General features: G+C 41.5%; 1 protein-coding gene and 1 long non-coding RNA gene across 6 annotated transcripts in view; one reads left to right on the top strand and one right to left on the bottom strand.

Annotated features, from left to right (window-relative positions):
* Positions 1 to 24,773, bottom strand: part of KCNAB1 (potassium voltage-gated channel subfamily A regulatory beta subunit 1) — a 420,928-nt gene that overhangs the window by 307,356 nt on the left and 88,799 nt on the right. The gene's annotated exons all lie outside the window — the stretch shown is intronic.
* Positions 3,900 to 16,223, top strand: KCNAB1-AS2 (KCNAB1 antisense RNA 2). Its single transcript, NR_046617.1, has 4 exons — positions 3,900 to 4,094; positions 13,747 to 13,806; positions 14,744 to 14,847; positions 16,045 to 16,223. It is a non-coding gene; the product is annotated as a KCNAB1 antisense RNA 2 (long non-coding RNA).

Raw genomic sequence — 24,773 nt, 5'->3', positions numbered from 1 at the left:
AAACATTTTCTGGTTGGCAATTGGTTGAGTTTATCTGAAGACCTGGGATTAATGGAAAGGAATGTTCTGGTTAAGGCAAAGGATTGTGAAGACCAAGTTTTATTGTGCAGAGGAATTGCTTAGGTAGCGGACTTCAGAGAGAGAGCGGGTTGTAAAATGTTTCTTATAAGACCTAAAAGGGTGCCTAGCTCTTAGTTGATTATCTCCTGGAGCTAGGAAGGAAGGAAGGAAGGAGGGAAGAAGGGAAGAAGGGAGAAAGGGAGGAAGGGAGGGAGGGAGGGAGGGAGGGGAGGGGAGGGGAGGGGAGGGAAGAAAGGGGATTCTCTATAGAATGTGGATTTTTCCCACAAGAGATTTTGTAGGGCAATTTCAAGGCATGGCAAGGAAATATATTTTGGGGTAAAACATTTTTTATTTTCTTCCTTGTTATGCCAGAGTCAGATTGGAAAGTAAGTCATGATATACAGAGTCAAATAAAACCCATCTGATGAGAATTTATGGTTTGTAGGACATGACTCCCCAGACCCCTTAGATAGAAGTTTGGGCAAAATAAAAAATCAGAGCTTAGTCCTCATTAATGTTACAGGAAAAGAAAAGTAATCATATGTGATTACAAATAATCCCAGCTCAACTGTGGTCAAAATGATGCAAGTCTTGAATATTGCTGTAATCAAACTGAAGATAAATCTGTAAGAGGAGGATGGAAAGGGTACACCTGTGCACCAGAGCAAGAGGAGGAGAGAAAGCTATCATACCCCAAATCATCAACACAGAAGTTACAAACAGATCCATCTAAGAGTAAAAGGCAGTTTTCTCCAGAAGAGGGAAAAGAGGGAGGCTGAAGGCTGTTTCTCCCAACAGATCCTCAGGATGTGTTGACTCTCTAAAGTGTGTGCATACAATTGTAATGCAAACTTTTTGTAAAAGTAAATAAACCTTTTTACTGATATATACACACAGAAGATACACAATCATATGTAATTCTCACAAATAAACATATCCTGTGTCTACTACTTAGATCAGAGAGGTTCTGACTTCTTATTAAGAAAAACCACTCCCTGCATTCCTATTCTTTATCTCATCATCCCTCGTGTTTACTTCATAGCACAAGCTGTGTGTGTATATTTATTTGGATGTTGACATCTTTGTTTTCTCTCTCTCTCTCTCATGTAAATTCCACAAGTCAAGCTCCTTGTCTTTATTAATTGTTTTATACCCAGTGTCACTGTATATTACACACAACAATCTATCTCTGAATAAATGCAGCCATATGTTGCTTAGCAACAGAGATACATTCTGAGAAATGTATCATTAGGCAATTTGTCATGTCATTGTGTAAACATCATAGATTGCACTTACACAGACCTAAATGGCATAGCCCACTACACACCTAGGCTATATGGTACATCTCATGGCTCCTAGACTACAAAGCTGTGCAGCATGTTACTCTACTGAATACCATAGGCAATTGTAACACAATGGTAAGTATTTGTGTATCTAAACATAAAAAGGTACAGCACAAATATAGTCTTATGAGACCATGATCATATATGTGGTCTGTCATTGCCTGAAATGTCATTATGTGGTACATGACTGTATTGTTAAATGAATAGATAAATGAACACAAGGCCACAAATATGATAAAATGGTGCAGCCATTAAGAAACTTAAAACTGGATGATAACAATTCTAAGTATTGTTTTGCCTCATGCTCTTTGGATGTCAAGCTTATATAATAAAGAATAAGCCTGTGAGCTTATCTTTACAAGTAGAACATTCAGCACCAGGCCTGAAACATAATGAAACAATCAATAAGTATGTGTTAGATGTCTAACTAAATGTTTTCCCATACTATGCCAACTATCACAGTTTGAGACATAGGCTCTTCCTACATAGGAATGTGGTCTTCTCTTAAAAAAAAAAACTTTTTAAATTATAATTGCAGGGTTGGCAATATCTTGCTACCCAAACAAGTACCTCTAGGCACAGCTGCTATTTACCAACACCCAACTGGAGAGGAAGCAAGGAATTAGCACAGTCAAAACTGGAAGGTCTTCGATACATTTCTGTGTTAATCCATTGTCTCTCTTCTCTGTACCCCTCTCTATACCCCTCATTTAAGACCTCTAGTCCCTCCTGCTTTTCTGAGCCCATCTTCTTACCAGCTTAGGAAATGACTCTATATCATCTTACTCCTCCATTGATTACACTTCAGGATGAATAAGTGTTGTCCTTTCCACTAATGCATCCAACATAATTGTGTTCCATCTTTTATCTGTAACCACATAATATGGTTTAAATTTGTGTCCCTGCCCAAATCTCATGTCGAATTGTAATAATCCCCAAGGTTGGAGGAGGGGCCTGGTGGGAGGATATTGGATCAAGGGGACAGATTCTCCTTTGCTGGTCTCTTGACTATAAGTGAATTCTCACAGATCTGTGAGGTGTGTAGCACCTCTCCCCACTCTCTTCCTCCTGCTCTGGCCATGTAAGCTGTGCCTTCCACCATAATTATAAGTTTCCCAAGGCCTCCCCAGCCATGCTTCCTGTACAGCCTGCAGAACCACGAGCCAATTAAACCTCTTTTCTTTACAAATTACTCAGTCTCAGGTATTTCTTTATAGTAGTGTGAGAATGAACTAATACACCATAGAAAGAAAAATAGTCTTGTTCTTTTTAAAACAGAGTTTCAAACCTCTCCCTCAAAAAGACTGTGTTCAGGGCTGAGACCCCTCAGAGGCTCCCCTTTACACACAAGGAAGAGGGGAATGATGCCTCTGGGGTATGTCTAGTGCCCTCTCCCCAAACTCCACACTAGAACAACACCTTCTCTCTGTGTAAACCCTAGTCTCCGCTGGGGTTCAGGTATGCCATGGAACTCAGAGGCGGGCTTGCCCAGAATCTTGACAGTGGGAAATAACCAGCCTACAAAGGGCCATGTGGCCATAGACAGAAAACTGTCTGTGGAAGGAGAAATAGGGTGGTCAGAAGAGGAGAGCAATCCTGAGAATCACATAGTGGCTGTCACTGAGGTTTTTCTCTGATCTATCCCCCATTGACTCCAACCTAGGTCAAGGGTAAGAAAAGCCTGGAACTCAACCTGAACAAGCTATTTCACTTAAGACTCTGTAAACCTTTGGAGCCTTTCAGTGGAAGGCAACATGAGAAGGAGAGGTGCCCTCCCCACTTCCCACCTCCAAGCTCTAGCACACCTGCAGCGGTCTCTAGTGGAACATGATAGAACCCCGAAGAGGCAGGCTAGTGAGAAGGAAGAAACAGCAGACGCTGTGTGAAGGCTGACCAGGCTTGCTTTCGACCACACATGAGATGCATTTCAGGGACTTCCAGAAATGCTTGAGGAAACAACACAGGGGCTGGGATCTGTAACAGTCAAATGGAGGCAAAACCATCAACTGCTGCTCCTATGTTCAAAGCACACGGTAGGGCTGCAGACAAGAAGTGTATGGCTTTTTGTGAATCACAAAATCTAAGCTTTCATCCCACCTCCTAACCAGCACTTGCTTCTTTTCTCCTCTCCCCTTCATCTGAAGACTGTGCACTATCTGAGGGCAAGGACAGCATCTGACTTCCCACCGACACAGTTACTGCCAAGGGGAGGTGCTCAATAAAGATGTGTGGAATGGAATGAATGAACAGAGGAATGGAATTGAACCAATTTGGTACAATAAATTATTGTGCAAAATTTTAAGGTGGAAGACGTTTCTGATGTTTACTTTCAATGTATGCAACAAGAAGGTAAGTTTAAAACTGGATCCTACCACTTACCTGCTCTCTCTTCCCGTGCCTCTAGGATTCCACTGCTAAATGTGCAGATAATTCCCATATTCATTGCTGACTCAGTGTCTCTTTCTGACCTTGTATTGATGACATGGCAGAAAGGGCTGGAGGAGGAAAATCCATGTCTAAGCAGAACAGCTGTGTACGAGGAGGTCCCTCCTTAAGCACAGTTTGCCTAAACAGCTCTGAACCGGGATGGTGCCCTAAAAGGGCGTTTCCGGAGTTTAGGGTGAGAACTTACCACTGTGCCTGCTAGTGGGGGCCTTGAGCCTGTTACATGAAGAGGAGAATCATTTGGTGAGTGACTGGGGTTTAGGTTTAAGCATCCCTGTTTACTAACTGCATGACCAGGAACAAATTTCCTAACTTCTCTGGGTCTCATTTGCCTTCTTTCTTGAAATATAATAATGTCGACTTACCTACATCACCTATTGTTGAATCAAACAAGAGAATCGTATACTAATTTGCATATAAAAATAGTACACACACACTAGATTCAGACTATCATGAGAAAAGACAATTCTCACTGAAATCGGAGAGAAAGTCTTTTTTAGCTGCTTGGAATCGTCCCACTTTATTGCAACATTGATTGTGATTTCAAACACTTTTTTTTCTAAGTCAAACTTTCAGGGCCTATTAAATACCTTTGAGAACAATGTCCTTTGTCTTTGCTTTTTAAATTAGTTTCATTCTTGCAAATGGCCAGTCGTTTCAGTACTATCAAAAGGAGTTCACGTTGTAAAAGTATAAAAAAGAACTTTTTCCTTGCATTAGTTACTGATCAGTGGAGTAATGGCCTACATTTGTTCACACAAAGACCTAATGGATAACTTTTTAAAAACAACATTGTGACGAAGAAGTAGTTAGATTTAGAAACCATTAAATATTATAGAATAGAATAACCCAAAAGCACTTAATCATCATGTAGCTTTGTAAAAAATCTATAGTTGGAATTCATTCTTCATATGCTTTTATTTCTATGGAATCCTTACAAGCTCCAGGCTGTGTGTTTTTTACTTTTAGTAAATGTTTATCCCTTATGTCTGTGTCATAGTCCACCATGGTTTGATTTGCCCCAAAGTCAAAATACTCTCTTGATCATTGTACACAGAATTAATCAAGACTGACAGGACTATTAATGGTGCTTATCGCTTACATAAGAGAGAGGAGGAGTGCTGGGCTTGGCTGTGGGGTGTTTCCTGAAACTGGAATAAAAGGATCCCCGCCAAAACATGGAAAGTTGTTCACAAGCTTTGCAGATGAGCTTTTCTTTTTTCTTTTTCTTGATTTCAATAGGTTTTTGGGGAACAGGTGGTACTTGGTTACATGAATAAGTTCTTTAGCGGTGATTTCTGAGATTTTTGTCTGTTAACCCTGCTGATTATTTCTTTTGCTGTGCAGGAGCTTTTTAGTTTAATTAAGTCCCATCTATTTCTCTTTGTTTTTGGTGCATTTGCTTTTGGGTTCTTGGTCATGACGTCTTGTCTAAGCCAATGTCTAGAAGGGTTTTTTGATGTTATCTTCTAGAATTTTTATGGTTTCAGATCTTAAATTTAAGTCTTTGATCCATCTTGAGTTGATTTTTGTATGAGGTGAGAGATAGATATCTAGTTTCATTCTTCTACATGTAGCTAGCCAATTATCCCAGCACCGTTTGTTGAGTAGGGTATCCTTTCTCCACTTTATGTTTTTATTTGCTTTGTCAAGATCAGTTGACTGTATCTGGCTTAATTTCTGGGTTCTCTATTCTGTTCCACTGGTCTATGTGCCAATTTTTATACCAGTATAATGCTGTTTTGGTGACTGTGGCCTTACAGTATAGTTTGAAGTCAGGTAATGTGATGCCTCTAGTTTTGTTCCTTTTGCTTAGTCTTGCTTTGGCTCTGTGGGCTCTTTTTTGGTTCCATATGAATTTTAGGATTTTTTTCTAGTTCTATGAGAAATGATGGTGGTGTTTTGATGGGAATTGCAATGAATTTATAGATTGCTTTTGGCAGTATGGTCATTTTCACAATATTGAATCCATGAGCATGGGATGTGTTTCCATTTGTATGTCATCTATGTTTTCTTTCAGCAGTGTTTTGTAATTTTCCTTGTAGACGTCTTTCAAGTCCTTGGTTAGGTATATTCCTATGTATTTTATTATTATTATTTTTTGCAGCTATCGTGAAAGGAGTTGAGTTCTTGATTTGATTCTCAGCTTGGTCGCTGTTGGTATACAGCAGAGCTACTGATTTGTGTGCATTAATTTTGTATTCTGAAACTTTGCTGAATACATTTACCAGTTCTAGGAGCTTTTTGGATGAGTCTTTAGGTTTTTCTAGGTATACAATCATACCATCAGCAAACAGTGACAGTTTGACCTCCTCTTTACCAATTTGGATGCCCTTTATTTCTTTCTCTTGTCTGATTGCTCTGGCTAGGACTACCAGTACTATGTTGAGTAGAAGTGGTGAAAGTGGGCATCCTTGTCTTGTTCCAGTTCTCAGGGGGAATGCTTTAAAATTTTCCCTGTTCAGTATAATATTGGCTGTGGGTTTGTCATAGATGGCTTTTATTACCTTAACGTTTGTCCCTTCTATGCCGATTTTGCTGAGGATTTTAATCATAAAGCAATGTTGGATTTTTGTCAAATGCTTTTTCTGCATCTATTGAGAAGGTCATGTGATTTTTGTTTTTAATTTTGTTTGTGTGGTGTTTCACATTTATTTACTTGTGTATGTTAAACCATCCCTGCATCCCTGGTTTGAAACCACTTGATCATGGTAAATTAACTTTTTGATATGTTGTTGGACTTGGTTCCCTAGCATTTTCTTTGAGGATTTTGCATCTGTGTTCATCAGGGATATTGGTCTGTAGTTTTCTTTTTTTGTTATGTCTTTCCCTGGTTTTGGTATTAGGGTGATTCTGGCTTCCTAGAATGATTTAGGGAGGATTTCCTCTTTCTCTATCTTTTGGAATAGTGTCAATAGGATTGGTACCAATTCTTCTTTGAATGTCTGATACAATTCAGCTGTGAATCGGTCTGGTCCTGAACTTTTTTTTGTTGACAATTGTTAAATTACCATTTCAATCTCACTGTGTGTTATTGTTATGTTCAGAGATTTTATATCTTCCTCATTTAATCCAGGAGGTTATTTCTCCAGGAATTTCTCCATCTCCTCTAGGTTTTCTAGTTTATGCATGTAAAGGTGTTCATAGCAGCCTTGAATAATGTTTTGTATTTATATGGTATGAGTTGTAATATACCCCATTTCATTTCTAATGGAGCTCATTTGGATCTTCTCTCTTCTCGGTTAATCTCTCTAATGGTCTATCAATTTTATTTATCTTTTCAAAGAATCAGCTTTCTGTTTCATTTATCTTTTGTATTTACATTGTTGTTTGTTTCAATTTCATTTAGTTCTGCTCTGATTATCATTATTTCTTTTCTTCTGCTGGGTTTGGGTTTGAATTGTCCTTGTTTCTCCAGCTCTGTGAGGTAAGAACTTAGATTTGAGAGGTGACAGCATGCTGGCAGCCCTCGCAGCCCTCGCTTGCTCTTGGCGCCTCCTCGGCCTTGGCGCCCACTCTGGCCGTGCTTGAAGAGCCCTTCAGCCCGCCGCTGCACTGTGGGAGCCTCTTTCTGGGCTGGCCAAGGCCGGAGCCGGCTCCCTCAGCTTGCAGGGAGGTGTGGTGGGAGAGGCACGGGTGGAAACCGGGGCTGCGTGCGGTGCTTGCGGGCCAGCACGAGTTCCGGGTGGGCGTGGGCTCAGTGGGCCCGCACTCAGAGCGGCCGGCTGGCTGGCCCCGCTGACCCCAGGCAGTGAGAGGCTTAGCACCCAGGCCAGCAGCTGTGGAGGGTGTGCCGGGTCCCCCAGCAGTGCTGGCCCACCGGCACTGAGCTTGATTTCTCACCTGGCCTTAGCTGCCTCCCCACGGGGCAGGGCTCAGGACATGCAGCCCGCCATGCCTGAGTCTCACATCCCCCCCAACCAACTGCAGTGGGCTCCTGCGCGGCCTGAGCCTCCCTGATGAGCGCTGCCCCCTGCTCCACGGAGCCCGGTCCCATCAACCACCCAAGGGCTGAGGAGTGCGGGCACATGGCGCAGGACTGGCAGGCAGCTTCACCTGTGCCCCAGTGCGGGATACACTGGGTGAAGCCAGCTGGGCTCCTGAGTCTGGTGGGGACTTGGAGAACCTTTATGTCTAGCTAGGGGATTGTGAATACACCAATCAGCACCCTGTATCTAGCTCAAGGTTTGTAAACACACCAATCAGCACCCTGTGTCTAGCTCAGGGTCTGTGGATGCACCAATCAGCGCTCTGTGTCTAGCTGATCTGGTGGGAACTTGGAGAACCTTTATGTCTAGCTAAGGGATTGTAAATACACCAATCAGCACTCTGTATCTAGCTCAAGGTTTGTAAATGCACCAATCAGCACCCTGTGTCTAGCTCAAGGTTTGTAAATACACCAATGAGTACTCTGTGTCTAGCTAATCTAGTGGGGACTTGGAGCACTTTTGTGTCTAGCTCAGGGATTGTAAATGCACCAATCAGCACCCTGTCAAAATGGACCAATCAGCTCTCTGTAAAACAGACTAATCGGCTCTCTGTAAAATGGACCAATCAGCAGGATGTGGGTAGGGCCAGATAAGAGAATAAAACCAGGCTGCCCAAGCCAGCAATGGCAACCTGCTTGGGTCCCCTTCCACACTGTGGAAGCTTTGTTCTTTCACTCTTTGCAATAAATCTTGCTGCTGCTCTCTCTTTGGGTCCACACTGCCTTTATGAGCTGTAACACTCACCGCAAAGGTCTGCAGCTTCACTGCTGAAGCCAGTGAGACCACAAACCCACCAGAAGGAAGAAACTCTGAACACATCTGAACAGCAGAAGGAACAAACTCCGGACACACTGCCTTTAAGAACTGTAACACTCACTGTGAGGGTCCGTGGCTTCATTCTTGAAGTCAGTGAGACCAAGAACCCACCAATTCCGGACACAGATTGTCTAATTGTGCTCTTTTAGACTTGTTGATGTAGGCATTTAATGCTATGAACTTTCCTCTTAGCACTGCTTTTGCTATATCCCAGAGGTTTTGATAGGTTTTGTCACTATTATCATTCAGTTCAAAGACTTTTTTAATTCCCATCTTGATTTCATTGTTGACCCAACAATCATTCAGGATCAGGTTATTTAATTTCCATATATTTGCATGGTTTTGAAGGTTCCTTTTGGAGTTGATTTCCAATTTTATTCCACTGTAGTCTGAGAGAGTACTTGATGAAATTTAGATTTTCTTAAATTTGCTGAGACTTGTTTTGTGGCCTATCATATTATCTATCTTGGAGAATGTTCCATGTGCTGATGAATAGAATGTATATTCTACAGTTGTTGGGTAGAATGTTCTATAAATATATCTGTTGAGTCAATTTGCTGTAGGGTATAGTTTAAGTCCATTGTTTCTCTGTTGACTTTCTGTCTTGATGACCTGTCTAGTGCTGTCAGTGGAGTGTTAGAGTCCCCCACTATTATGGTGTTGCTGTCTAGCTCATTTCTTAGGTATAGTAGTAATTGTTTTATAAATTTGGGAGCTCCAGTGTTAGATGCATGTATATTTAGAATTGTGATATTTTCTTGTTGGACTAGTTCTTTTATCATTATATAGTGTTCTTTGTCTTTTTTAACTGATGTTGCTTTAAAGTTTGTTTTGTCTGGTAGAAGAATAGCTACTTCTGCTCACTTTTAGTGTCCATTTGCAGGGAATATCTTCTTCCCGCCCCCCTTTACCTTAAGTTTACGTGAGTCCTCATATGTTAGGTGAGTCTACTGAAGGTAGCAGAATTGGTTGGTGAATTCTTATCCATTCTGCCATTCTGTATCTTTTAAGCGGAGCATTTTAGGCCATTTACATTCAATGTTGATATTGAAATGTGAGGTACTATTCTATTCATCATGCTTTTTGTTGCCTGAATACCTTGTTTTGTTTTGTTTTTTAATTGTGTTATTGTTATATAGGTCCTGTGAGATTTATGCTTTAAGGAGATGCTATTCTGGTATATTTTGAGGATTTGTCTCAAGATTTAGTGCTCCGTCTAGCAGTTCTTACAGTGCTGGCTTGGTAATGGAAAATTCTGTCAGTGTTTGCTTGTCTGGAAAAGATTGTGTCTTTCCTTCATTTATGAAGCGTAGTTTTGCTGGACACAAAACTTTTTTTTTGGCGGGGGGGGATGGAGTTTTGCTCTTTTCGCCCAGGCTGGAGTGTAATGTCATGATCTCAGCTCACTGCAACCTCTGCCTCCCAGATTCAAGCAATTCTCCCACCTCAGCCTCCCAAGTAGCTGTGATTACAGGCGCCCACCACCATGTCCGGCTAATTTTTGTATTTTTAGTACAGACAGGGTTTCACCATGTTGACCAGGCTGGTCTCAAACTCCTGACCTCAGGTGATCCACCCGCCTCAGCCCTCAAAGTGCTGGGATTACAGGCGTGAGTCTCCACCATGCCCGGCCACAAAATTCTTGACTGATAATTATTTTGATGAAGGGGGCTAAAGATAGGACCCCAATCCCTTCTATGGTTTCTGCTGAGAAATCTGTTAATCTGATAGGTTTTCCTTTATAGGTTACCTGATGCTTTTGCCTCACAGCTCTTAAGATTCTTTCCTTCAATATCGTGAAAATGGCCATACTGCCTAAGGTAATTTATTAATTTAGATTCAATGCTATCCCCATCAAGCTACCACTGACTTTCTTCACAAAATTGGAAAAAACTACTTTAAAGTTCATATGGAACCAAAAGTGAGCCCACATAGCCAAGACAATCCTAAGCAAAAAGAACAAAGCTGGAGGTATCATGCTACCTGACTTCAAACTATACTACAAGGCTACAGTAACCAAAACAGCATGGTACTGGTACCAAAACAGAGATATAGACCAATGGAACAGAACAGAGGCCACAGAAATAACACCACACATCTACAACCATCTGATCTTTGACAAAACTGACAAAAACAAGCAATGGGGAAAGGATTCCCTATTTAATAAATGGTGCTGGGGAAACTGGCTATCCATATGTAGAAAGCTGAAACTGGATCCCTTCCTTACACCTTATACAAAAATTAAGTCAAGACAGATTAAAGACTTAAATGTAAGACCTCACACCATAAAAACCCTAGAAGAAAACCTAGGCAATACCATTCAGGACATAGGCATGGGCAAAGACTTCATGACTAAAACATCAAAAGCAATGGCAATAAAAGCCAAAATAGACAAATGGGATCTAATTAAACTAAAGAGCTTCTGCACAGCAAAAGAAACTGTCATCAGAGTAAACACGCAACCTACAGAATGGGAGAAACTCTTTGCAATATACCCATCTGACAAAGAGCTAATATCCAGAATCTACAAAGAACTTAAACAAATTTACAAGAAAAAATCAAAACTCCATCAAAAAGTGGGCAAAGGATATGAACAGACACTTCTCAAAAGAAGACATTTATGCAGCCAACAGACACACGAAAAAATGCTCATCATCACTGGTCATCAGAGAAATGCAAATCAAAACCACAATGAGATGCCATCTCATGCCAGTTAGAATGGCAATCATTAAAAAGTCAGGAAACAACAGAAGCTGGAGAGGATGTGGAGAAATAGGAATGCTTTTACACTGTTGGTGGGAGTGTAAGTTAGTTCAACCATTGTGGAAGACAGTGTGGCGATTCCTCAAGGATCTAGAACTAGAAATACCATTTGACCCAGTGATCCCATTACTGTGCATATACCCAAATGATTATAAATCATGCTACTATATGGACACATGCACACGTATATTTATTACGGCACTATTCACAATAGCAAAGACTTGGAACCAACCCAAATGTCCAACAATTATAGACTGGATAAAGAAAATGTGGCACATATACACCATAGAATACTATGCAGCCATAAAAAAGGATGAGTTCATGTCCTTTGCAGGGACATGGATGAAGCTGGAAACCATCATTCCAAGCAAACTATCACAAGCACAGAAAAGCAAACACCGCATGTTCTCACTCACAGGTGGGAGTCAAACAATGAGAACACATGGACACAGGGCTGGGAACATCACACACTGGGGCCTGTCAGGGGGTTAGGGGCTGGGGGAGGGATAGCATTAGGAGAAATACCTAATGTAAATGACGAGTTGATGGGTACAGCAAACCACCATGGCACAGGTTTACCTATATAACAAACCTGCACGTTGTTCACATGTACCCTAGAACTTAAAGTATAATAATAATAATAATAATAATAATAATAATAATAATAAAAAGATTCCTTCCTTCGCTTTTGACTTTAGATAACCTGAGGACTATGTGCCCAGGTGATGACATTTTTGTGATTAATTTCCCACATGTTCTTTGAGCTTCTTGTATTTGCATGTCTAGATCTCTAGCAAGGCTGGAAAGTTTTCCTCAATTATTCCCTCAAATATGTTTTCCAAACTTTTAGATTCCTCTTCTTCCTCGGGAACACCAATTATTCTTAGGTTTGGACATTTAACATAGTCCAAATTTCTCGGAGGTTTTGTTCATTTTTTAAATTCTTTTTTCTTTGTCTTTGACGGATTAGGTTAATTCAAAAACCTAGTCTTCAAGCTCTGAAGTTCTTTCTTCTGCTTGTTTGATTCTATTGCTGAGACTTTCCAGGGCATTTTGCATTTCTCTGAATGTGTCCTTGATTTCCAGAAGTTGTGATTCTATTTTATTTATGTTCTCTATTTCACTGAAGAAGTTTCATTTCATACCCTGTATCATGTTTTTGATTTTTTTTAAGTTGGACTTCACCTTTGTCTGATGCCTCCTTGGTTAGCCTAATAATTGACCTTCTGAATCCTTTTTCTGGCAATTAAGAGATTTTTTTCTTGGTTTGGATCCATTGCTGGTGAGCTGGTATGATCTCTTCAGGGTGTAAATATCCTTGTTTTGTCATATTACCAGAACTGTTTTTCTGATTCCTTCTCATTTGGGTAGACTGTAAGAGGGAAGACCTGAGATCAAGGGCTGCTGTTCAGGTTCTTTTGTCCCACAGAGTGCTCCCTTGATGTGGTGTTCTCCCCCTTCCCCTAGGAATGAGGCTTCCTGAGAGCCAAACTGCAGTGATTTTTATTTTATTTTTTTTATATTTATTTATTTATTTATTTTTATTTTATTTTATTATTATTTTTTTTTTTTTTTTTGCTGTTCTGGGTCTAGCCACCCTGCAGAGCTATGGGACTCCAGGCTGGTACTGCGGAGTGTCTGCAAAGAGTCCTGTGATGTGATCTGTCTTCAGGTCTTGCAGCCATGGATACCAGCACCTGCTTCAGTGGAGGTAGCAGGGAAGTGAAGTGGACTCTGTAAGGGTCCTTGGTTGTGTATTTGTTTAGTGTGCTGGTTTTGTTTTCGTTGGCCTCCAGACAGGAGGTGACGCTTTTAAGAGTACATCAGCTGCAGTCCTATAGGGATGATGCAAATTTGCCCTAGGGACAACTGGTTAAGTATTCAGGTTTCTCAGGCAGTGGGCAGGGCTATAGAGCTACCAAGAGATTATAACCTTTGTCTTCAGCTGCCAGGGCAGGTAGAGAAAGACCACCAGTTAGGGGCTGGGATAGGCATGTCTGGGCTCAGCCTCTCCTTTGGCAGGGCTTGCTGTGGCTGCTGTGGGGGATGGCAATGTGGTTCCCAGTCCAGTGGAGTTATATTCGCAGGGGGATTATGGCTGCCTCTGCTGAGTCATACGGGTCACCAGGGAAGTGGGGAAAAGCCAGCAGTCACTGGCCTCACCCCGCTCTCACACAGCCCACAGTCCTAAAGGCCGGTCTCATTCCCACCATGTCCCCACAACAGCACCGAGTCTGGCAGCTGGTGACCAGGGCTGAGAACTTGCCCCAGACCACGAGCCTCCCTGTGAAGAAAGCAAGCTGACTCACAGTTTTTCCACATTTCAGGGAGCCTGCAGCAGTGATTCTGTTCTTTCAGAGCGTCTGTGGATTCCCTCTGCTTTTCTGGTATGTTCCTGCGGTAGTTCTTGGAGCAAGTTTATGATGTGAGTCTCCACATATCACTCAGTCCATCAGAGTGGGAGCTACAAGCTAGTCCTGCCTCCTATTTGCCATCTTAATCCCTAGACTGGAGATTTTCAATTCCTGATACTGGCGTTACCTGTTCCAGGTAACTGGAGGTACACAACTCCCTGTTGTAAATGGGACATTATGACCAGCTTGTTTCCAGAGACACCATAACAGGTATTTGCCATCCCCTGGAGGGAGGCACAGGCATGTTAAATAATGAGCACTCTTTCTATATCAATAATAAATGCCAAAGCAGCTCCAAGACTTTACATTTTTAAAATGACAAGAAGAAAATAAGCTCTATAGTCTCTACATCCCTGGAACTCAAGTAAGAAAAGAGTTCCTGATTTTCTTTGTTCATACTAAACCATAGTGGAAACGCAATGACTTCAAAAGAACAAAAATCTCTGAGAGTGAATGAGCTCATCAGGACAGCCTCTTTTTACTCAGGTCTTAAGAAAGTCATTTTTAAAACTAGGGAAATGATTTTTTTTCGTATATCACTCTAGTTTCCTGATTGCATGTCTCAAAACATAATGTGACATGAAACTTTAAATCATATTAACTTTTTTGTTGTTGTTGCTGTTGTTAACATATTTGGAAAAGAGAGGCCAAAGTAATAATAATCATGTCACCCAAATTAATAGCACAACATCTGGATTGCAATTTTTACAGATTCATCAGAACTGGAACCAGATGCACATTATCTTTGCTGACTCTGAACAATATTATTGTACTTTCTCTAAACATAGCAGTGGAGTCTGTTTGACGTGTAGGAATCTGCGGCATCATTACCTTGGGTGTAAAATGCTGTTTTCATGCCTTTGGCAAACATCAGTCACCTGGCCTTGACACTCTAATTTCATCTCTACAGCCTGCCTTGCCATTGTCAACAAATGGACCTGATTACACTTGTACGGTTCAACTCTAGTTGAAAAGAAAATAAGCCTCTGAACAAATAAGCATTTGTTCCTCCAGGTCAGTCATGTAAAACCTAAAATCACTTCATACTGGGGATGCTGATGGAAAGAACTCAGGTGCTGGACAAACAGATGTGGGCTTAAACTCTGCTCCACCACCCTCATGCTGGGCAACTGGCAGCAATTTTCTCAATTTCTTTGAGAGTCAATTTCCTCATCTGTCAAGCAGGGATAAAACTACCTAATTGTCCAAAAGTAGGGGAATTTAAAGGAGAAAATGAGTTAAAAGCCCAGTGTCTGGCACTAAGTAGGGACTACTGAATGTTCCTCTTGCCCCCATCCCACCCTATCTTCCCCCAGAGTCTACTCTGCCTCATTCATGCACAGGGTTAGTACTAGACAGTCTTTCTTAACAACAGTTTTGTCAAATGTTATTCATTCTAGTTTGGGCGGAAAACCTAAGGACCAGATAAACAAGTTATCTAGCTTATTTCCAACCATCTCTTCAGTGCCTAGAACTGTTCACAAAACATTTAGGCACTCAGAAAACATTTGAAGAATGACGGAATGTAATTGCAAGCCCAGGACCACCCAAGGTTGCCTGGAAACATGGCATGCCTATGTTCATGCCAGCTTTCAGCAGCAATCTGCAGCAGCCAGTAGTTCTTACCATCAGAGACCTTTTAAATCTTCATTTCCCATCTACCTCCTCCCTATAAATACTAGAAATAATGATTTCATCTACAACTAATCAAGGGCTTGGATCAGCATGAAGTAGCTAAGGTTACCATCCTTAGTTAATCAAATTCCAGCTTGAAATAAGTAAGATTCTATTTCATTAACGTATTGCCTAAGTTAAAATAATAAAAGTCAGCAGACCTCAACAGTGCTTCTGAGGATCTGCGAGGGCCAGGAGACCCCAAATTTGTAGCTACCCACTATATCCAAAGGCTTTTCCAGAAGCAAAGCAAAATCTTGAACTGTGTTATGTTGAACCATATGAAATTGTGATTTTTGTATTTTGAAAATGGTCCTATGTCAGCAATTTCATAAAAATCAATCTAATACCACACTGAGCACCAGCTAACAAACCCTGAGTGCTTTACTCTCCCACATAATGAAAGGAATTATGTCATCTCTCTCCTCGAAAAATCTTCCACGGCCACCCATTCTATATGAATCCTGTAGGCAGCAGTGGAGGCCATTCTTACCTCAGTTCAGCCTCTCTCTGATCCTTCCCTTTCTTCCTCCCCAGGTAGCCTGTGATGCCACTGCAGTGGTGGATGTTCCCTGAACACGCTGTGCATTTTCTCACCTCAGGGTCTTCAGTCAAGCTGCTGCATCTATGTGGAATTCCCTGTCTGTCTCCACCAACTGCCAAATGCTTGCTGATCTTTCAAGATGGAAGTGAAAGGACACTACCTCTCCTAAGCTTTCCCTAGTGCCTTCATGTACCACCAACCCCCAAGTCAAAATTTACCTCCACCACCTCAGCACTTTCATAACCTCTGCCTGACCTCTACTTTAGGACGAAATAAAACTTATCTTGTTCTATTAACTGGATGTATAGGTTTAATTCCCCAACAGATTTTAAGGCCTACAAGAAGAAACTAAATTTATCCATCTCACGTCTCTTATACTGCACACATACTAGGAGGTCATTACATGTCAATTGAATTGAGTGATGCTTGCGGGCCACAGGTAACTCTCCATGACTTATGCCTTGCTCAAGAGCGTAGGTTTTGTTTGACTCCCACCTCTGCCATTAATATCTGAATACATTCTGCAAGTTACCTAACTTCCATAGCTTCTCTTTTCTCATCTCAAACAAATGAGCTAATAGTCCCTACTTCTCAGAATTGTTATAAAAATTAAATAAAATAATGTAGAAAACTTACTTAGCCTGTCATGAAGTAGGCACTCAGAAATGAGAACAATTACAATTTAGTTACTCTTATAATAATTATGATTATCTGTTTAACAATTAACTCATAGGTAATAGGTTTAAAGAAAGAATAATACTAGAGGTGGATAAGGAATAGACATTTCCAAGGAAGGCTGTACACCCTGAAAGACCAGTGTGTGAAGATCCTGCTTGTGGCGGGCGACAGCCTGATGTGTTTCGTGCAAACACATCAATCCCATTATCCCCTCGTGACAAGAATGAATGTTTCAACCTTTATTACACTCACTGGGAAGACATGACTAGATCAGAAGTTTTGAGAAATTAGTTTTGGCTTCAATTGAGCTGTGAAAACTTGTTAAATCATTTCATTCTGTTACCATTCAAGAATACGGTCGGGTGGTTTCCTGATCCTTTCCAGCCTGTAGATGGCCTTGGAATCATTTAGCTGAATGCCCTACCTTGAGATCACTGCAGTCAGGTAACTATCTGCTCTCAGCTGACAAAATCTCTCCATCTTCCAAAAAGGAAAGCAATAACAGGAAGTTTGGGGACTGATTTTTTATGAGTCTTTCCATTTTTGTCTTGGGTGGCAAAAGAAAACACTCAGTATTCTCTACTCACACAACAATTCTAATACCGAACGTGTGGGTTTTCCACACCAGGCAGTTCTCCAGTTCTCTGTGGATGCCAACCAGATGATACTAAGTGCCTGCAATTAGCATAGACCCCCAGATTAAGGGCTCAGTCCCACAAGACTGCCCCCAACTTCAGATGCCAATCATAAGTAGCAGTTCCCCAGACTACTCACACTTCCATCCAAGTTGGGTACAAATTGGGGGTTCCCACAACCCCCTCCTCAGATTCAATAATTCGCTGTAACATTTCATAAAACTAAAAAAGAAATTTACTTACTTTACCAGTTTATTAAAGGATACAAATAAAATGCCAGAGAAAGAGGTACATAGGGCAAGGTCTAGAAGGGTCCCAAGCACAGGGGTATCTGTCCCCGTGGAGTTGGGGCACACTACCTTCTGGCACATGGATATGTTTACCAACTCAGAAGCTCTCCACTTCATTTAGGGATTTTTAAGGAGGCTTCATCACGTAGGCAAGATTGATTATCAATCCAATCTCCAGCCCCTCTCCCCTCCCTGGTAGACAGTGGATGGGCCTGAAAGTCCCAAGCTTCTAATCATGGCTTAGCCTTCCCATCCTGAAGCTACTCAGGAACTCTAAAGACTTGCCTCACTAGAGCAAAAGACACTCCTGTCACTCCAGAAATTCCAAGGGTTTTAGGACCTCTGTGTCAGGAACTGGGGGCAAAGACCAAATACAAATTTCTTATGTCACAGGTAGAAACAGATAAGGGATACTGCTTATTACATATGACCAGAGTCTCCAAAACAAAGGCAGATGACAAGGCTGACAAGAGTTTCCCCAACAATCCCCACCCTGCATGGAGGACAGCAGAGCATCACTCATTTTCCCCAGAAGCTACTTTAGCAATGTGGGTGTGTCGTGGCCTTGGCAGAATCTTGCAACTTATTAGAGATGGAGCTTAAGAAAGGGAAAAAGGCTGAGCAAGGTGGCTCATTCCTGTAATCTGAGCACTTTGGCAGGCTAAGGCAGAAAGATCACTTGAGCTCAGAAGTTCAAGACCAGCCTGGTCAACATAGTGAGACCCTGTCTCTACAAAAGAAAAATTAGCCAGGCATAGTGATGCATGCCTTTAGTTCCAGCTACTCCAGAGGCTGAGGGAGAGAATTGCTTGAGCCCAAAAATTTGAGGCTGCAGTGAGCCATGACCCCACCACTGCATTTCAGCTTGGGTAACAGAACGAGACTCTGTCTCAAAAGACAAAAAAAAAAAAAAGTGAAAGAGACTGATAGGACTCCACATTGTTTTATTTGGGTAACTAAGAGAATACTGGCACTTCTAACAGACACAGGAGGACAGCACCTTCCTCCTTACCCCATACTCAGCCCATCACCAGATCCTACTGGTGTTAGTTACTAAGCGAGCTGTTCCATCTGGCCCAGATCTCCCTGCTTCCACTCGTCCCACCAAATCTATTCTCCAAATAGTGGTCAGAGTGTCTTTATTTTGAAACATCACTCCTCATTGCCTTAAAAGCCTTCCACGGCTTCCCCACTTACTCTGTTGACACAGTCACAATTTTGCACTATCTAGCTGACACGGTCACAATTTTGCACTATCTACAAGGTCCCAGGATTTATGCTCCAGCAGCACTTCTCACCACCTTCCCTCTTGCCCTTTCCATGTGACACACTTTCAGAGCTTTGCCTTCCTCAAGCTCCTCCCATCCCAGAAGTGCTTCCTTGCAGTTCCTCTGCCTGAAGTGCTCGCCTCCCCTCTGTGCCTACCCTTCTGATTTTAACCCAATCATCAATTTCTGGAGGTCTTAGCTGCTTAGGTCAGACCTCTGCAATAAACTCTAGGAGTCAGAAGTGTCATCCTTTGCCACCTGGTAGTGGGTGTGAGTTTACAATCATTTGTCTGCTTGTCTCCCTTCGCATCCCCCACATAGCCAGTAACATCCAGGAGCACCTCCAACCAATCTGTTTCTGCTCCATTGTAGCTATCTCTAAAGCCTGGCCCACAGCCTGCACATAGTAGGGATTTCATAATTAGCTCTTGATTGTGGAATGACTGAAGGAAAAACAGCATTTTTTTATTCATAAAAGAAATCTACCCCATCATCTTTCATAGTATCTGAAACCATCACTAACACTTTATTCCTTTGAGGATTTTCAAGTTTTCTAGAGAGATCAATAAACTGAAAATACCCCTGGGAAAGGTTAGAAAATTTTTCTCTGCTTGGACTTGAGTGTTCCAGGTGAAGAATGTACTGCCTCTTCCCTGGTCTGCACACAGCCTCTGTTCTTTCTATCACTCCACCTCCTATAGCTGCATCTACAGGATGAACTATCACTAAAACTGGGAACCAGGAAGATGCTTGATTCACTGAACTAACATGGTGGGGGATCATGAAGTTCCCTTACAAGGCTTCCTTGCACCCCAGTAAAGAGCTCATCAGTATCATCAGATACCTGAAATCTGGAGGACAAAACTCTCTGTGCAGCCACATTAGCCAGCATCACCCCTTCTGGCCCTGTTTCCCTTCCGGTTTTGACTTGAGAGCCCAAACTCTTCCTCCAATTCTAGCTCCTCCTCAGAGCCTCTTCCTGTGAACAGCTCTTGCTGGGCTTTCCACATCTCAGATAAGAAATTCTGTTGGGCAACCTGCCACAAGTTCAGACACCACCTGGACTGTCACATAGATAGACATATCCCTCAGTTTCCTGGAGTCATTCATTTCCTTTGAGTAATCACCACAGAATTATGAGAAGTGTCAAAGTAAGCCAGTCTCTTGGCCATGGGTAAGTAAATTGGCTGAGTTTTCCGTTACTGAATCATCTATTTCCATCTTCATGGGGCATAATATGATAGCAAGGAACAAACTGCCCTTTGAATGCCTTTTCCACAATAGTGCTTAATTGATCATCCTGTGTGTGGGCATTGGCATAGGACCTGGGGTTATTAAGCTGAGAGATTGATTTTAGAATTTAGTCAATTATATTAGGGCTGAAAGGCATCTACCTGTTTTGATAATATCCAGACGAAGCAACTGATGATTACCCAGAAATCCAACCCATTGCATTGGCCATATATCTAAAACTAATGCATGTTTGCATATTACAAATATTAACCATTGCAGATAATTATTTAACAAGTTCAAAAGTAATAATTTGCTGGAATGCATCAGGCAGTAAGCAAACCTTGAAGACAATTTCTAATTAGTAATGCATTTTGTGACTTTTTTTGTTCTCCCCCTTTGATATATAGTTCCCCAGAATAAGGTATGAAAATTTTCAGTCATGATAATTTGATTCTCATTTCTGACTCCTCTTCAATATTCTCTCAGCATGGATGAGAGGACACTCCACTGCACCCCTTTTTTCACTGCCCACACTCATACTGAGGACCATCTCAAATCTCTGTTTGACACCAAACACAGCCTGACAGCTTGGATTTCATTATCATTCACAAAGGAATTTTTCTCTCTTTTAAAAAATCTTTGAAACCTCCACATTGCATTTGGCCAACTCTGCTTCCTGGACCAAACCCTGTGGAAAATCATACTATGAGGCACCCACCCACGAATTTGTTTACCCCATGTCCTCTTTGAGCAAGTAAATAATAAAATAACTTTGAAAGTGGAAGGGATTTTTCCAGAAGGGCAATACCCAGCCAAGAGACACTGAAGCATGGCTTCCAGATGCAGGTGCCTGCCAGGTACAGTCCCAGCCCACTCCCAGGGAACCCTGTGGGGAGCAGAGAAAGCCCAGGGTCTGGGATCAAAAGACACAGCTTCTAGTGTCAGTGCTGCCACTTGCTCCTGAATTTTAGGACCATCTCTGGACCCGGTTTGGTGATGGGTGAGGTGCCATTTTAGCTAGCATGGCTGCTCTCAGCATGGTGTCAGGCACATCATGGTGATCAATAATTATCTTTTGCATGCAGAGATGAATGGATGATGCGAGTGTTTTGTAAATATCATGATGACTGGCTCTCTCTAGTACAGGCTGAGGAAATAACCTCTATCTGCTGGAGCCCTCTGACCTCCAGAAAGCATAAACAGAATGCATAGGAAATCACCCAAATTTTCTGTACTACAGATACAATCCAGAATTATAACCCAGGATAGTGTGAAAACTAAGAATGAGATCTGTATACATTCATATCTAGCCTAAATTCTGTTCTTTACACAACACTTCAGAAAAAGTGAAATGTACCCCAAGTAAAATGGAGGCCCTGCTCCATAGAGCAGGGCCAAGTTCTCAAACAAAGCAAGGGGAGGCAGAGGCATTCCTGGTCAGCGAGCTGCCCATGCCTTCCTGAGCAGCAACCCTCAGCTCACCGACAGTCTCAGCCTGTGCTTCTTCCACTCCAATTCAATAACCCAGTGCAGTCTGACAGTTTGCTTAGTGAGCAGCCATGAGGAGTGCAGATCATTGTAGATGTCCTGCAGGGAAGCAGGGAAACTGGCACAATGTATTGATGATTTAGTAGTTTTAAATTAATATCAAGCTAACAGTTTAAAGATCTTTTTTTCAAGAAATTGTCTCTAATGTCTAATGCGGAATGCAAGTGCACTGGTTTGAAATTAGCTCATTTGATTTCCGTCACTGCTCCAAGCCCTTATCTTTCTGCCATTCTGGAGAAATGTTTGCTATGCAATAAACAGTTTGAACAAGATGCTGAAGGCATTTAACCTTGATAAGAGAATAAACTCTTTGAAATAAATTTAGTAGACTTGCAGACACACCAATATTGAGCATGTTTGTCAGCCCCCACACAACATACTTCCTTATGCCTCTGTGCTATGGTGGAATTTTCCAGACATCTTGTGTTCTGTTCACATCTGTGACCTGAAAGTACAGATATTTTCAGATTCCTGAAAGTATCTGTATCAACATGAACTGAAATGCATGCAGTCTATATTTTGTCTAAACTATCAAAGCCATAACACCTGTCTTTAATGTTCAGGAAATATTTGGAAATTTTCTTTTCTTCAAAGCATTATGCTTTTAGACTAAAGTTCATTGACGTGAGTGTTGGCTTATTAATTAAGGTAAGCATTGTACATAGGCAGGAGCCCTTTCATGACCTTTTCCCCTAAAGGAGAGCATTCTCCATTATTTTGAATAAACTGCAAACAAAATACCAGTTAACATAAGTACAGTCTGTTTCCCTGCCATAGTACCTTTGCACATGCTATTTGCTCTGCCTAGAGTACCCACCCTAATCCAACTCCAGCTCAACTCCCACGTCCCTTCCAGAAGCATTCCCTGGCTCTTGCCCCTCTTTCCACCAAGCCAAACTGTGTCTTCTCTGCACCATTAATACCATACACACTCTGATTATGGAACTCATCATCTCTAAATGTGATTGTATACAAATTTACTTCTCCACTTGACTGTGTCTTTAAAAAATTAAGTTTAAAAAACATAGTATCTTACGCCTCTTTTAACACTAAATACATGAATAACCCTGGATTTTTATCCATTAAAGCGGGGCTGGAAAAATACCTGTCTTTGCATTTCTTACGTTATGCATTTATATTATTATGTATTCTTGAGAACTATACACCTGAAATAACTATCCCATAACTGAGATTTCTCATTAAGCCTGATGGCCACTTCCAATAGGTATGAATGAGTGAGGTTTCACTATAGAACCTTTGGCTTGCCCTGTGTATAGAACATGTGCCCACATAGTAAGAATGCTGGCTAATTAGTGAACATTGTGATACCAGGGCAAGCAGTCAGGATGCAGGATTCTTGGACAGCTGACTTACACCAGAATTAACAGTTTGTTCTGGTTTCTCACAGCATGAAATTCAGCTCATTGTCAGTATGGGCAAGTATTTTTTTCCCTCCTTGTTAACATAAACCCTCATAACACACTCAGAGTACAACACAGAAACACCTCTTTCCCCCTCCAAGTTGTCAGAGATGTTCTTAGCCAAGTCTGTTAGTGACTCAGAGGGGTCATTTGGAAATTTAAAAGCCATTAATGAACATGCTTCCTGCTCCCCACTCTCATCCTCCTTCCTAGTCTCACAAGATGTCGTTATTTTTAACTCCACACTGCTACAGCTGCACTTCAGAGAAAGCCAAGCTGAGATAGAGGCACAGCCCTGTTCGCAAGATGGGAAGCATGGCCGTGAAAAAGGAGGAGCATCAAAAAGAAGGGTAGACATTGGGAGAGAAGTTAGAAACACTTCTCAGAGAACACAACTGTTGCAAAGATCAAGTAGGAGCAGCGGCAACCTTCAGGAATGGGAAATCATGATGATCCACCCTTTCCCAAACTAGGATGCAGGAAGTTCCCAAACTTTGGTCCCAGTCATGACTAAAGAATTAGACAAGGATATAGCACAAGCCTTAGGAATCTGGTAGTTCTGCCAATTGGTGCTAGAAAAAAAAATATATCATGTATTCTGACCTGAACAAACCTCTAAACCAAAGTTTCTTACTTTGAATCACCACTCTTGGTCTGTATTATTTCAGAAGTTTTACACTAAAGGAGCAAAACCCAAGGCCAAAAGAAGCTGAGTTGTTTGGAGATTTCTTTTTCTCTTTGTGGCTCTTGTTAGTACCAGTTTTAACCTCATTTCACCCAAATAAAGGTACTTGATTTCCTCTCATTCTCTATATATTAAACAGAAATAGTTCTGGTTGTCAAAATTTCCTAAAGTTAGCCTGAATTATCCTGTGAATGACACCCCTGAGGTTGTGCAACGGGAAGACCTGCTTGAATACAACCAAGGAAGCCCTCTAAGCATTTCTCCTCTCTGATTTGTCTTTTTAGTCATTTTTCTATGGGCACAGCTAACATGGATTCTATTCTTCCACCAATCTTAAAAGATAATATTTCATGTAGCGGCATAAAAGTGGATTAGATTTGTATTGTTCCTGTTTAATTTTTTTATTTCTGAAATATACATGTATCACTTGGGTTCCCACCAGAAAACAGATGGCACACTCAAATTAGGCAGTTCAAATGAGTTTATTTGCAAAGGTGTAGAAGAATTGTAAGGGTTGCTGCAGTAACCTAGGGTGAGTTGCAAAAGAGAGGAGGGAATATTTGCTAGAACCAAGGTAGACAGAGTCATAAAGAGTAGGCTGCCTAGAGCCCATTATCAAGGACTAAACTACCTCTGGTCAAGAGACAGAGTCAGCCTTAGATGATCCCCTGCAAGGAGAGTATAAATACCCAATGGGGACATAAATACCCCAACCACATTTTCTTCTTCTCCTACCCACTACTCCTACCCACTACTCCCACCCTGCCACCTGCTGGGGATTCCCATTGGCCAAACCAAATGATAAGGCCTCTTATTGATGTAGGCCATGCAGGTCTGCCTTCTGGGTTGCAGAGCAGGGTAGAGAAGCAAAGAGAGTGCATCTGGAGAAAGAAGATAATTGGCACAAAATAGAGTATTATTTAAAAACCAAAATCTAACACTTTATTTCAACAGCTGCAAATTT

Source organism: Homo sapiens, chromosome 3, assembly GCF_000001405.40.
Source record: "Homo sapiens chromosome 3, GRCh38.p14 Primary Assembly".
Lineage (NCBI taxonomy): Eukaryota > Metazoa > Chordata > Mammalia > Primates > Hominidae > Homo > Homo sapiens.
This window is presented reverse-complemented; position numbering and strand designations above follow the sequence as displayed.